At 45.2% G+C, this 13,262-nt stretch overlaps 1 protein-coding gene and 1 long non-coding RNA gene across 3 annotated transcripts, besides 2 other annotated features; one reads left to right on the plus strand and one right to left on the minus strand.

Moving 5' to 3' along the window:
* Window positions 159-847: an enhancer, noted in NCBI's record as "OCT4-NANOG hESC enhancer chr6:32623606-32624294 (GRCh37/hg19 assembly coordinates)". NCBI's record gives its function as "activates a minimal SCP1, AML or CMV promoter by ChIP-STARR-seq in naive H9 embryonic stem cells {active_cell/tissue: H9 hESC(naive)}" and the evidence as "EXISTENCE:reporter gene assay evidence [ECO:0000049][PMID:30033119]".
* HLA-DQB1 (major histocompatibility complex, class II, DQ beta 1) lies at window positions 3,797-10,987 on the minus strand. 2 transcript variants are annotated; one of them, NM_001243961.2, is made up of 6 exons: window positions 10,829-10,987; window positions 9,128-9,397; window positions 6,297-6,578; window positions 5,677-5,787; window positions 5,189-5,212; window positions 3,797-4,579 (listed from the first exon to the last, which is right to left on the minus strand). In NM_001243961.2, the coding sequence occupies exons 1-6, from the start codon at window positions 10,935-10,937 to the stop codon at window positions 4,566-4,568; spliced, it is 810 nt and encodes a 269-aa protein (NP_001230890.1). In that variant the 5' UTR covers window positions 10,938-10,987; the 3' UTR covers window positions 3,797-4,565. The 2 variants fall into 2 exon arrangements, with proteins under 2 accessions (NP_001230890.1, NP_002114.3); NM_002123.5 differs by lacking the exon at window positions 5,189-5,212.
* HLA-DQB1-AS1 (HLA-DQB1 antisense RNA 1) lies at window positions 4,210-5,059 on the plus strand. The gene is made up of 2 exons (NR_133907.1): window positions 4,210-4,386; window positions 4,685-5,059. It is a non-coding gene; the product is annotated as an HLA-DQB1 antisense RNA 1 (long non-coding RNA).
* Window positions 8,750-9,277: an enhancer, noted in NCBI's record as "H3K4me1 hESC enhancer chr6:32632197-32632724 (GRCh37/hg19 assembly coordinates)". NCBI's record gives its function as "activates a minimal SCP1, AML or CMV promoter by ChIP-STARR-seq in primed H9 embryonic stem cells {active_cell/tissue: H9 hESC(primed)}" and the evidence as "EXISTENCE:reporter gene assay evidence [ECO:0000049][PMID:30033119]".
* Window positions 10,988-13,262: the final 2,275 nt, after the last annotated feature.

Raw genomic sequence — 13,262 nt, forward strand, 5'->3', positions numbered from 1 at the left:
CTAGAACACCTACACACTTTCCTCCAACTTATATGATGATTAAGACTCAGTTCTTTGTGTTAGCAAACTTATTTATTATCGGGGAACCTGCCCTGATAATCAAGTAGGTTCTTTTTTATTTTTCCTAAGAGTCGGTCGGCTTGAGAAATAAAGAGACAGAGTACAAAAGAGAGAAATTTTAAAGCTGGGCATCTGGGGGAGACATCACACATTGGTAGGATCCGTGATGCCCCACAAGCCACAAAAACCAGCAAGTTTTTATTAGGGATTTTCAAAAGGGGAGGGAGTGTGCGAATAGGTGTAGGTGACAGACATCAAGTACTTAACAGGGTAATAGAATATCACAAGGCAAGTGGAGGCAGGGCGAGATCACAGGACCACGGGACTGAGGCGAAATTAAAATTGCTAATGAAGTTTCAGGCACCATTGTCATTGATAACATCTTATCAGGAGACAGGGTTTTGAGATCAACCGGTCTGATCAAAATTTATTAGGCGGGAATTTCCTCTTCCTAATAAGCCTGGGAGCACTACGGGAGACTGGAGTTTATTTCATCTCTGCAGCCTCGACCATAAGAGACGGCTACACCTCGGGGGTCCAGTTCAGAGGCCTACCCCTAGCTGCGCATTCTCTTTCTCAGGGATGTTCCATGCTGAGAAAAAGAATTCAATGATATTTCTCCCATTTGCTTTTGAAAGAAGAGAAATATGACTCTGTTCCACCTGGCTCACTGGCAGTCAGAGTTTAAGGTTATCTCTCTTATTCCCTGAACGTTGCTGTTATCTTGTTCTTTTTTCAAGGTGCCCAGATTTCATATTGTTTAAACACACATGCTCTACAATTTGTGCAGTTATTGCAATTATCACATGGTCCTGAGGCGACATACATCCTCCTCAGCTGACAGGATTAAGAGATTAAAGTAAAGACAGGCATAGGAAATCACAAGGGTATTGATTGGGAAAGTGATAAGTGTCCATGAAATCTTCACAACTTATGTTTAGAGATTGCAGTAAAGACTGGCATAAGAAATTATAAAAGTATTAATTTGGAGAACTAATAAATGTCCATGAAATCTTCACAATCCACGTTCTTCTGCCATGGCTTCAGCCGGTCCCTCCGTTTGGGGTCCCTGACTTCCCGCAACAATTTATACAGGATGTACTTGTAATTCTAATGAAATTATCCATTAAAGATCATATTATCCAGTGAAATTTGGGTGCAAAAAAATAGTTGTTTCTATGAAACTGTCAATGGAAGAAAGAGAAGAAGATTTTGACCCTCTCATTAATAAAGAATCTCCAGCATGTGCTCAGTGTGACGATGTTGAACTGTAAGAATTATAGGGCTTATGCTTCAACTAGAAAAATCAGATCTCGATGTCTCCCTAAACTTTGAGTCTGGTTCAATCCCCAGCCCTGCCTCTTCCCTTTGCAGGGTCAAAAGCAAGAAGCCACATGAAGGGGTGGCCTGCCCCTCCACACCTGTGGGTGTTTCTTGTCGGGTGGGATGAGAAACTGAGAAAAGAAAGAGACACAGAGACAAAGTATAGAGAAAGAAAAGTGGGCCCAGGGGACCGGCGCTCAGCATACTGAGGACTCACGCCGGCCCCAGTCTCTGAGTTCCCTCAGTATTTATTGATCATTATCTCTACCCTCTCGGAGAGGGAGATGTGGCAGGACAATAGGGTAATAGTGGGGAGAGAGTCAGCAGGAAAACATGTGAACAAATGTCTCTGCATCATAAATGAGGTAAAGAAAAAGGCGCTGTGCTTTTTTGTGCACATACATAAACATCTCAATGCATTAAAGAGCAGTATTGCCACCAGCATGTCTCATTTCCAGCCCTAAGGCAGTTTTCTCCTATCTCAGTAGATAGAATATACAATCGGGTTTTAAACCGAGACATTCCATTGCCCAGGGACGAGCAGGAGACAGATGCCTTCCTCTTATCTCAACTGCAAAAAGGCCTTCCTCTTTTACTAATCCTCCTCAGCACAGACCCTTTACGGGTGTCAGGCTGGGGGACAGTCAGGTCTTTCCCTTCCCACGAGGCCATATTTCAGACTATCACATGGGGAGAAACCTTGGACAATATCCGGCTTTCCTAGGCAGAGGTCCCTGTGGACTTCCGCAGTGTTTTGTGTCCCTGGGTACTTGAGATTAGGGAGTGGTGATGACTTTTAACAAGCATGCTGCCTTCAAGCATTTGTTTAACAAAGCACATCCTGCTTTGTTAAACCTTGAGTTGACACAGCATATGTTTCTGCAAGCACAGGGTTGGGGATAGGGATACAGATTAACAGCATCTCAAGGCAGAAGAATTTTTCTTACTACAGAACAAAATGGAGTCTCTTATGTCTACTTCTTTCTACATAGACACAGTAACAGTCTGATCTCTCTTTCTTTTCCCCACAGCTACACATAGAGACTGAGGACACCCTGGACAACCCAGCACATGCTTTCCCCATTTCCCCAAAAGTGGCACTCCCTTTTGATCCCTATGGTCAATGACAATGCCCACCCTGAGGAAGAGGACAAAATCAGCACAAAACTTTTGACTCCATTCAGCATTCTGCTTGGGGAAAATTCAGACCATAACCCTGGGGAGCAGAATCTCAAGTGTTGGTGCCTCTTTGTGCGCCAGTGTCCCTGTCTGAGGACCTGCATGACAGCCTGGAGTACAGGAGATGAACGTCCCAAGGAGACCTAGTTCTCCACTCTGACCTCATCCATAAGAAGGAAGAGCCTGCCAAAGACTCCTCACGCCCAGTGTGTGGGTGAGGGAGAAAGGAAGATGGGATGTCTGCTTTCAGGGTCATGGCCTTCCATAACCTCGCAGAAGCTCCCAGACTCTGTCTTCATGATGAAACTCAGAGACTGAGATGTAGACCAGCTTCAGGGCTGGGCCCACATCAAAGGGGCCACAGTGTGTAGTGACCTCCCTCATAACCGGGAAAAGAGTGTCATCAGGAATCAACAGGTTACAACGTCAATGACAAAGGGAGCTCAGACAAGGAGTGGAATGACTGTGAACAGGTACCCCCAGTGAGGGACCCTAGAACCAGAGGGAGCTCTGCCATTTGTCCTGTGGGCTCCACAAGAAACAAACTGCCCCTTACACCCCTCCACTGTGAGGACAGGCTCTGGAGGCTGAAGTGCTCCACATGACTGGTGTAGACATCTGCACACTGGAAGTCATTTCCAGGACCACAAGGATCTGGAAAATCCAGTCCTCCTTCCTAATAAGAGCGATGGACACAATGCTGGCTGTCAGCATCCCGTGCACAGGACAATGTGTTTGAGAGGTGTGCATGTTACCCAGGCTTGGCCAATCAGAATGTTTCCTAAAGTTGTCAAAACTCTGGTAGACAAGTCTAGAAACATATATAACAGAGACAGACAAACAGACACACACACAAACACACACACACACACAGAGAGAGATGAGGTAAGATATGAAGTGATAAGGAAGACAAATACAGAAAAATAGATGCAAAAAGAAACATGAAGATAGAAAAAATGCAGATAAATAGTGACAATGGATTAGAAAAATAGAAAGAAAGGCAACAATGTAGTGAAAGACAACAAGGGCACAGAGACAAAGATGCAGAGAGACACGCAGAAAGAACTATACAAGGACAAAGAGACACAGAGAAAGTGAGACAGATGCCCAGATAGAGACATAACAGAAAGAGAGGTGAAGATCTCGTTGAATATCTGGAACTAGTAACTTGTGAAATCAACTTGACTCTAGGCTTCCTTTGTACCATGAACAAAATATATTTGGGCTTCTATCATTTAGACTCAAAAATAGTATTTTTATTGCTGGTTATGCTTTCTTAAAAATAAAAAATATTCTTGATCGATGTGACTTTCCAGAATGTTTGAAACACCAGTGACCAAGGATCACTATATATGTCTCCAAACAATTCTACCATGCTTATTTACACAGCACTCACCAAACCAGAAGAGAGGCTGGGATATTCTAAGGCCAATGCACTGAGCATCAGTATTAAAGAACCATGAATGATGCGACAATTGAATTATTTTCTACCTCCTCTGCCCACCCTTACTTCACACCCCAAAATGCTTTCAGTGTCTTTTCAAGGTACAATCCTCCTTCTGGCCACAGGTTTGCTGGGTCACCTCAAGGGATGTTCCTTCATTCTGCAGTGATTTCCTGCCTCTTCTCAATTAAGAAAGTTCAGAATACAGATAACTCAGGATCATGTTTAATTATGTAAAAAAGCTCTAAAGTCAGGTAATGTTTTTCATGTGCTTCTCTTGAGCAGTCTGAGGAAAGAATAGAAACAGAAACCCCTTGGGACCTGAGTAGACGCAGCTGGCCATGCACAGGCAGAGGCTCTGGGTCAGTGCAGGAAGCAGAGTCACAGCCAGCGCCTTGGGGTGGGGATGAAAGGAGATGACCTGGTGGCTGCGTGACAGCCACTGTAGGACTTTGATCTCAGGGGGACAAGCTGACACAGGCAGCTGGGAATTCTGGGCAGGCATAAGCAGGCATCACAGAAGAGTGATAACCAATCCTAGTTAAAATAGTCTCAGGAGTCAGTGCAGAAGCCCTGGAGAAGAGAGAAGAGCATTGATCAGCACAGGGTATCCTGGTGGGCCTGCCATCTCCCCCACCCTTCAGGGGCCCCCTGCAGCTTCAGACAGAGAAAGTTGAGGTCCAGGGTGTATTGTCATCACCTCCCCCAAGATCTGTGCAAAGGTGAAATCAGCTCATGAGGACACAGAACTTCAGCTTGATGCAGATGTGTGGGAGGTGGGGAACAGCTGTTATTCTTCTGGGGAATATGAAGGGTTCAGTCTTTTTAGGAAATTGGATGATATCTCTTCCCGACCACTAGCAGCCTCTTTCAGTCACTGGAAAATGCTTACAGGCAGTAGCCACCATCATGTGGCACAAAGTGGGCATCATCCTAGTGTCTAACATTTAAGCTGTGGTTCTGGCTCCACATTTCACAAGAAGATGCCACCAAAGTTAAGGCTTGGTTCTGGGGAACAATGTCTGGAGATTCCTAGAAACTGGCAAACTTCTCCCCTAAGTCTTGATCCTCATAGCAGCAAATAGGCCATGAACATGGACCACTGTGGTCAGGTACACTCAGCTCATGCTCTTCCCTCTTATACCTGTGCCTCCCCACACTGGATCATGGCTGAAATATTACCTGCTGGTGGAGGCCCTTGAGGTCTTACAAAAGGAAGTTATGCAGAGAAAGGTCTCATTACACAAACAGCCACTCTCTCACCCCAAAGGAAAATGACACACATGACTTAGAGTTACATTCTCTTCCCACCCATGTTCTTCCAGGCCTTCAGCACCCTAATTTAAAATCCCCTAAAACAAAGGAAATTGTCACTAGAAAGAAAGGAAGCTGAGGCTCTGACCCTCTTAATGGAGGAAGCTTTTGGAAAGGAGCCAGTGAGACAATGATGAATGGTAAGGATGCCCTGGAATAAGCTCTATCAGTCAGCTCTGTGACAGCGCTACCTTTCAACCAGTAAAATCAGATTCCAATGCCTCCTCCCATCTTGTCCTGTCTCCTCGCACTTCTTCTCAGGGTCAGGAGGAAAGAGCTAATCTACAGACAGGACCACTCTGAACAGAGGGTCTGGGTCACAGCCCATCTTCCCCTTTTCCCCTGGGGTTCCTCACCTTTCTGACTCCTTTGACGGATGATAAGGCCCAGCCCAAGGAAGATCAGCCCCAGCACGAAGCCTCCAACGCCACTCAGCATCTTGCTCTGGGCAGATTCAGACTGAGCCCCTAAAGAGCAGAACTGAGTGTCTGTGTTTGTCCCCACACCCCATAGCATCCCTGCTGAGGAGTTGAAGTCCAGTCTGAGGTGCAGAAGGTGAAGGCATCAAAGGAACCTAGTTCTCCATTCAGACCACCCCTAAGGAGGGGAAAGACCAGCCAATAGGTCCTTGGATACAGTGAATAGGTGAGAGAGTGGGGAAGCAAATCTCTGCTCTTCAAGAACTCATCCATAACCTTAGACCCTAAGATCCCAGTCACCAGCCCTAAGAATCAGTCCCTCAGAGCTATCAGGACTGGGATTCAGAGCAACAGTATGTAGAGTAATTTCCCTAGCATCTGGAAAGGTGATGAGACCAGGATTCTTCTGATGCACTTGCCATGGAGCAAGAGGTGCTCTAGTCTCCTGTGATTCCCAGCTCAGTAGTGACATCAGGGATAAGAGATGGGAAGGAATGGGTCAGAAGGAGCTCTTTGTCTTGTGGGCCCATAGTAACAGAAACTCAATATCCCCTTACGCCACTCCACGGTGATGGGGCTCTGGAGGCTGGGGTGCTCCACGTGGCAGGTGTAGACATCTCCACGCTGGGGAGTCATTTCCAGCATCACCAGGATCTGGAAAGTCCAGTCACCATTCCTAATAAGGGGGGTGGACACAACGCCGGCTGTCTCCTCCTGATCATTCCGAAACCACCGGACTTTGATCTGGCCTGGATAGAAATCTGTCACCGAGCAGACCAGCAGGTTGTGGTGGTTGAGGGCCTCTGTCCTGGATGGGGAGATGGTCACTGTGGGCTCCACTGAGGGCAGTAACAGACAGGAAAAGACATAGGAGTGAGATGTGAGAACACACACCACGTCTACCATGAGGAAGGATCCCTCCTTGGACCAGAGTGGAAAGATACCTGGAGTCGAAGTCTTGGATTAAGGTTCATTCAACAAATATAAATTTGACAATCACTGAGAATTCAAAGATAAATAACATACTATGGTCCCTGCATTTATAGAATGTGCAATCTAGTAACAGACAGCAAAAAACAAAAAGAATGTTATTTCAAAAGTTTGTAATATTTGAAAAAAAAGTAGAATGTTATTTCAAAAGTTTGTAATATTTGAAAAAAAAGTAGGCAGGCCTTCAAAACAAATAACCCTTGATCAAACATCATGTTTGTCCACAACTCAATTCCTTTATCTTCTCAGATTGCTGCTCATAGTAAAAAAAATGACACATCTTTCCCCGCCTCTTTTACACATCTCATCCTTTCCTTTTAGGCCACTTTATCACATTTCCTTTATTCTCTTAGTGTGAAACTATAGCAAATATTTAATGTGTGCTTTCTTTATTTAGTAATATGTTCTCTCATTTTCTTTTTTTCCTTAATTTCTTTTTAACGCACAAGTGAGTTTAATTACTAGCTGTCTACCCTACTCCATTTCCTTGCTATTGACAATTACTTTCTTGTTCTGAAATCAGACATTATCGTGTATGTTCTCCACAGAAAATATTCTGAGATCCGTGCAGAGGTCGGCCTGGGCTAATGAGCCTGTAATGTGAACATATACATATAACTGGGATTTGCTGAGGTCAGCAGGTGGCACCCCAATTAAATGGCACTCTTGAGCCATCATCCGGAAGGAATCATGGTTTCTGCTTGGACTTGAACTTTTCTTTAGGTTCTCCTTCCTGGAGGCCAACTGAAATCAGAGTCAGCTATGTGGCCTTATAAGATTTGTTCATCTTCAACAGACTGGGAGTAAAAATAGAGGGCACAAATTTATGAGAAAAGATGATAAAATAAATTTTATGGAAATAAAACTGAAATAGCAAAAATATAAGTACTTGCTGGCATTAGGATGTGAGTCAAAAGAAGGCAAGGGAGTGTAAAGCAAACTAAAAGTTTTGTGAACCTGCATAGATAACACCGGGGTCAGACTAGGGATTGATTAATCATGAATTTTCAATGCCGCATTAACACACAGAACAAACAGGAATAGACTCATTGCTGCTTCTGGTCAAAACTGGCTTTAACAAGGCCTTACATCCCTTAGACTCTACATATGTGTAGTGAGGAACATAAGAATGTTGTGTACTTTGGGAGGCTTAAGATCTTGGTGAGTAATTGTGGGCTGATTACTTAAAGTGTTTATCATGTACCAATATTAGGATATATAAAGTGGTGATGCTAATCTCTAATGCACAGGTAGCTGTGAGATTAAATGACATAACATAGATGGTATTTGATAAGGCAACTGTCTAGAAATAAGTGCTTCCTGAATGGGTAAAATTGACTTTCAGAATGTTTATTCCTGAAGTGGATAGTGATGGGGGGGAGGGGATAACCTAGGCCAAAAGCAACCTGAAACTATTTTTATCCAATAATTTAATAGCTTCAACCTATTTATTCCCAAACTTCTGATCTTTGCATAGTGCTATTTGTTCAGCTTTTCTAAGAAATTAAAACTCTGCCTTACAACATCATTCAAGCATTGTTTTTATTTTTAGCAAACACATTTTCCTCAGACTTTGTATTCACAAATTCTATTAAGATCCAAGTCAGTAAGAGTTTACTTGAAAGCATTAAGCAAAATGTTAGAAAATAATTGATAAAGTTCATTTGTAAGCCTCTGTTTTTTTCTTGAACCTAACTGGATTGGCAGCTGAGTACATTTATTCATGAATTTAACAGAAGATCATTGAGCTCACACCACATACCAGTCAATGTGTCAGGTACCAGGCATGCAATAATTAAACAGTCTCTCGCCTCAAAGATCTCCGCCATTAGTGGTAGCCATTTAAGAAAACAGAATTACGATGAATAATGATTTGAAGCCAAAAAGTCAAAATATCTTATTTCGCAACTGTAATTGCTGGATGCCCTGCGCGCAGCTGTGGGGCAGCCCTAACTCCACCAGGCCAAGCCTGAAGCTTCCTGCGGCGCAAGCTGCGCACGTGGGCCTTGCTGGGTGGGGCAGTGCTAGCGAGGCCGGCGGGCAGGGGAAGAGGGTGGGCACTGGGGGCAGAGAGAACTGCTTAGCGAAGGTAAGGTACGAGGAGGCAAACACATAAGGCACGAGGCGAGAAACGTGCAGAGCGGAGGACGAGGCCGACGGACGGGGAGGCTGGGGGGGACACTAGGCAGCCTGGCCAACTCTGCTTGTCCCCCTGCTCTGCCCTAGGTCCCCGCCCCTCCGATGCACCTGCCCCCACCACCCCGCCGCCGCCTCCTTTCCCCTGGGGTGGAATGAACTGGGCTCAGATTTCAGAGACCTCGCCCCCATCGCCCCTCCCGGCACAGAAACTCGGGGTCTCGGCCAAGGGTGGGCCTCACGGAGGGGCGACGACGCTCACCTCTCCTCTGCAAGATCCCGCGGAACGCCACCTCGTAGTTGTGTCTGCACACCGTGTCCAACTCCGCCCGGGTCCCCTCCAGGACTTCCTTCTGGCTGTTCCAGTACTCGGCATCAGGCCGCCCCTGCGGCGTCACCGCGCGGTACACCCCCACGTCGCTGTCGAAGCGCGCGTACTCCTCTCGGTTATAGATGTATCTGGTCACAAGACGCACGCGCTCCGTCCCGTTGGTGAAGTAGCACATGCCCTTAAACTGGAACACGAAATCCTCTGCGGGGAATCACCGGCCGGTCAGTCAGGCCCCAGCCCGGCCGCCCCCGCAGCCGCCGCCCTGACCCGGCCTGGAGCTGTGGAACCGCCCGCGCGACCTCCAGTTCCCGCCCGCCCGTGCCTGGCGCTCCAGACCTGGGATCCTCCCGGCGGCTCTGCCCAGCTCTGCCCGCCTTCTTTGCGGGCTTCTGGAATCTGCCTTCCTACATCCAGGAAAGGGAGGAAAGCCCTGTCCCTGCCTGAGCCTGTGAACCCAGCGAAGAGGCAGTCGGGCTGATTTTACATGCACCTCTGCACTTAGAGGGATCAGGGCGTTCTCGCATGAAATCCCATTTTTCATGAAGCTCCTGGATACCTCAGAGATAAAGTTATCCACATAAATCTGAGAGTTCAACGGAATGACGAGATAGGTCCAGGAATTAAGCCTGGCCTCGTTCTGACACGCGTATTCTCTTGGTCCCTGGGTAAAATACCTTCCTTCCCATGCCTAGATTTACCCTCCCAAGTCCCGTTGAGGTTCACTCCCTTCTATGTTGGAAAGGACCTACACCTCTGAGTCCTAGATAGAGACATTTATTCATGGAAAGAGCACAAGCTTTTGAATTTGATAAACTAGATTCCAATTAAACTGTGGCAGTCACCAGTTTGGGCAGGTTATGTAACAGAATATCCATATCACAAGTATAATTGTGTAAAAGAAAATCATGATATCTACACACAGGATGTTAGAAGGAGTGAGAGAGAAGTTATATAAAGTATTGTTCTGTCTGAAGTGAGTGGTTTCACAATATGTGTTATTTCCCTTCTTTACATCCTCCTTCCTACTAAATTCAGTCCACCATTAACTCGGGTCTCTGAATCCCACTCAAGTCACCATTTGCCCATAAATCAGTGAAACCCGAAGACTCCCTCTCTGTGGTCAGCCAGTCAGCTTCCCTCAGCACCAAGATTTTGCCTCCACAAATGCTCCACTCGGTCAGGAATAGAGACAAATTTTCCTCAAATACAGAGACTACAGACACCATTGCTGCCTCACATTTTCCAATGCAGGATCTCATAATCCTAAGTCCAGGCAGTCTTGGGGCACGCCTAAATGACAAATCCTGCTGTGTCTTTGGAGAAATTCATATCTTCAAAAATAACCCCATGCTCACTTTGTCCTATCGCTGGTAGTAAATGTACACTTTATCTCCTCTTTCTCTCCTCTCTCCTCCTCTTCCAGGCTTAAGCCTGTAGGATGGGGATTGGATTGTCCTCATCTCATCACTAAAAGATAAATGGGAATGCAACATAGCTTTCTTTCCCAAGAGAGAGGAAATGTTGATGAAAGATTGTGTCCAAGATCATAGAGATCACCATCCCCCATACCCCAGCCCAAGGAGAGCCTGTTCCCAGAGTGGCGGCTCTGGAGAGCAGCTGCCCTGCACTTACCGGGAGAGTCTCTGCCCTCAGCCAGTAGGGAGCTCAGCATCGCCAGCATCAAGGTGACAGTTGCTACCCGAAGGTCTCCGGGGATCCGCAAAGCCTTCTTCCAAGACATAACTGAGACGAAGGGAAAAGCAGTGGTAGTCAACACAGCTCGGACCTGATGGATCTGATGTACCTGGCAGAAAGAATAAAAACCTGTGGATGTTTCCGTGAGTGGCAGGATTGGATGGTCCCTCGGAAAAGAACCAATCAGCACTGGAGCTGAAGGACCTCATCTGTCTCTGGGCAGACATTTTTTTTGTGAAGGTTCTCAATCCAGTGCCTGGCACTGTGACGTCTTCAAATTGTACTGGATGAACATCTGAGGTGAAAATTTCCTCTCGATTATAGAAGAGCTGAAGAACGAATGCCTCGGGGATTTTGAGAGGCAAAAGAAAAAAATGCGATTCAACAGTAAACATCTCTGTAATATTGTTAAAAACCAGTTGTTATTATACTTGGGATTTTTAATAAAGCAAATTAGGTGGGGATCATATTTCAGGGGAGAGAAAATTGCTGTCACAGAAATTTTTACTGCTGTTGTCTTAGACACGCTGAAGAGCCTTAAGTCCTGGGGAGAAGAGCAAAGTTCTTAGAAGGAAATAATGGTAAGTTGCAGTTCCACCACTAATGTGCTTTAGAAGAGTCAACAAATTACTGAATTTATTTTTGCCCCAGGCTTCTCTTTATAAAATGTGGGTCATGTTTCATGCATTTTACATCTAGATCTTCACATGTACAAATTTAAGATTAATTTGTCTTGTTTAATATTACAAAAGTCTCCTCAACTGTTATGTGTAACTATCAGGTTAATATGTGGAACAAGAAAACAAGCCAAAAAAAAAAAATTGATACCCACCCCTGCTGGTAAATGATTCTTCATTATGCAAGAACATATTGTATTTATGCTCTTCTAGTGAAAGTATTTGAAAAGTTAATTAAGTTGACATTTCTTTTTTAAGTTCTTCAGCTGTTTAAATCCTCCCTGAACCATGAAATGATGCATCTGATATCAGCAAAGGCACAATACACAGAATTTTACAGTATTCGGATGCAGTCATGTTTCGTTTTGAAGAGAGAGCACAAAACCTGTGGAGAAGCATTTCCTGGGTCCTGAATAGTACTAATGATGGAGAAAGTGTTTAGAGTCACAGAGTGTACTGTGCCAGCCCTAAACATTAAATCCCAAATGGCAGAGGTATCAATGTGTTTTTTTTTCAATTCTATTTTTTTAACAGTTCCTCATGGACATATCTACATCAATGTGTTTTTATAAATAAACATAACTTATCAGGCTCCTCTTGACAGTGACTAGGGGCAATACTAATGGTTATAAAGCAATTAGAACAACGCCTGGCAAACATTACTTCTGACCTCAACCAAGACAATAAATATCTCCACTTCTCTTCTTCTCTCCCTTTCTCTCTTTCTTTTCCCAAAATGTTAGGTTCTGCTTTTAAAGTAGAGAATACAATCTAAAATCAGAATATAAGTTTATCAGATAAAAAGAAGCAGGGAAGAGGCAACAGCAAGACGTTTGCAATAGTGGCACATGAAAGCGTTGAGCCACTCCAATATTCTGTATTATTCAGTGCATAATTCTAGAGCACCTGAGACTGGGAAAGTTGCCACTGGGCGTCCAGCAGCAGTGGTGTACTCAGGATCAGGGTAAACCCAGTCTAAGGAGGGTCTCCACTGCTGTGATGGACGCATAAAGGAGGAACCAAATGCACACCTGGAATGGAGTTGGGGCAAGGAAGAATAGGCAGAGAGACCTGAAGGTGCCCTCAATGTCCTTCCTCAGCCCCTACATCAGTGCGCCTCAAAATAGAGGTCTCTAATCCATCCTCTCCTTCCTGTCTAAGGGAAAAACTTCCCGCAGGTTTATTCTGAGGCAAAGGCTGCGTCATACCTGGGGATTCCCCAGTCTCACAGGCCTCTTTGCACAGACTTTTCAGCTAGCAACAAGTGTCACTTTAGAGCCTTTTTCTGATTGGCTAAAACCTCACTGGAAAGGTTTTGCTTTGGGCTTCTGCCAGTTGTGTCTGCCTGGCCCAGCCTTCTCTACAGTTGACTACCCTGGCCCTATCCCTGCTGCATTATTCAGGGCATTCAGGCAGAAAAAGGCCAGAGAAGAAAGAAACTAGGTCAAGCATCCTTATTCCGAGTGTCTCACCTGAATTGCCTGCCCAGCCTCTGTGGAGGCAGAGCAATTAAAGCATTTACTCCATATGGGTAAATGGGCTAAAAAGTCACTGCCATTAGTAGGGAGGGTCAGGATTACATTAGGGAGACTGTCTTTAGGGGACATCCTCTCTTCCTTCAGGTTGGAAGAAAAAGTTGTGGACTCCTTTGTGAAAATCAAGGGAGAAATCATCTTCTCTGGTCAACATCTCTT

Source organism: Homo sapiens, chromosome 6, assembly GCF_000001405.40.
Source record: "Homo sapiens chromosome 6, GRCh38.p14 Primary Assembly".
Classification (NCBI taxonomy): Eukaryota; Metazoa; Chordata; class Mammalia; order Primates; family Hominidae; genus Homo; species Homo sapiens.

What these genes read in the sequence shown, in the direction of transcription:
- HLA-DQB1 (NM_001243961.2), bottom strand. Translation starts at nt 10,937, where the DNA reads ATGTCTTGGAAGAAGGCTTTGCGGATCCCCGGAGACCTTCGGGTAGCA. An exon ending in CCCCATCACCGTGGAGTGGC is followed by an intron (nt 5,788 to 6,296) that starts GTAAGGGGATAT and finishes TCTGCTCTTTAG; the next exon opens with GGGCTCAGTCTGAATCTGCC. An exon ending in CCGTCAAAGGAGTCAGAAAG is followed by an intron (nt 5,213 to 5,676) that starts GTGAGGAACCCC and finishes TTCCTTTTGTAA; the next exon opens with GACCTCAAGGGCCTCCACCA.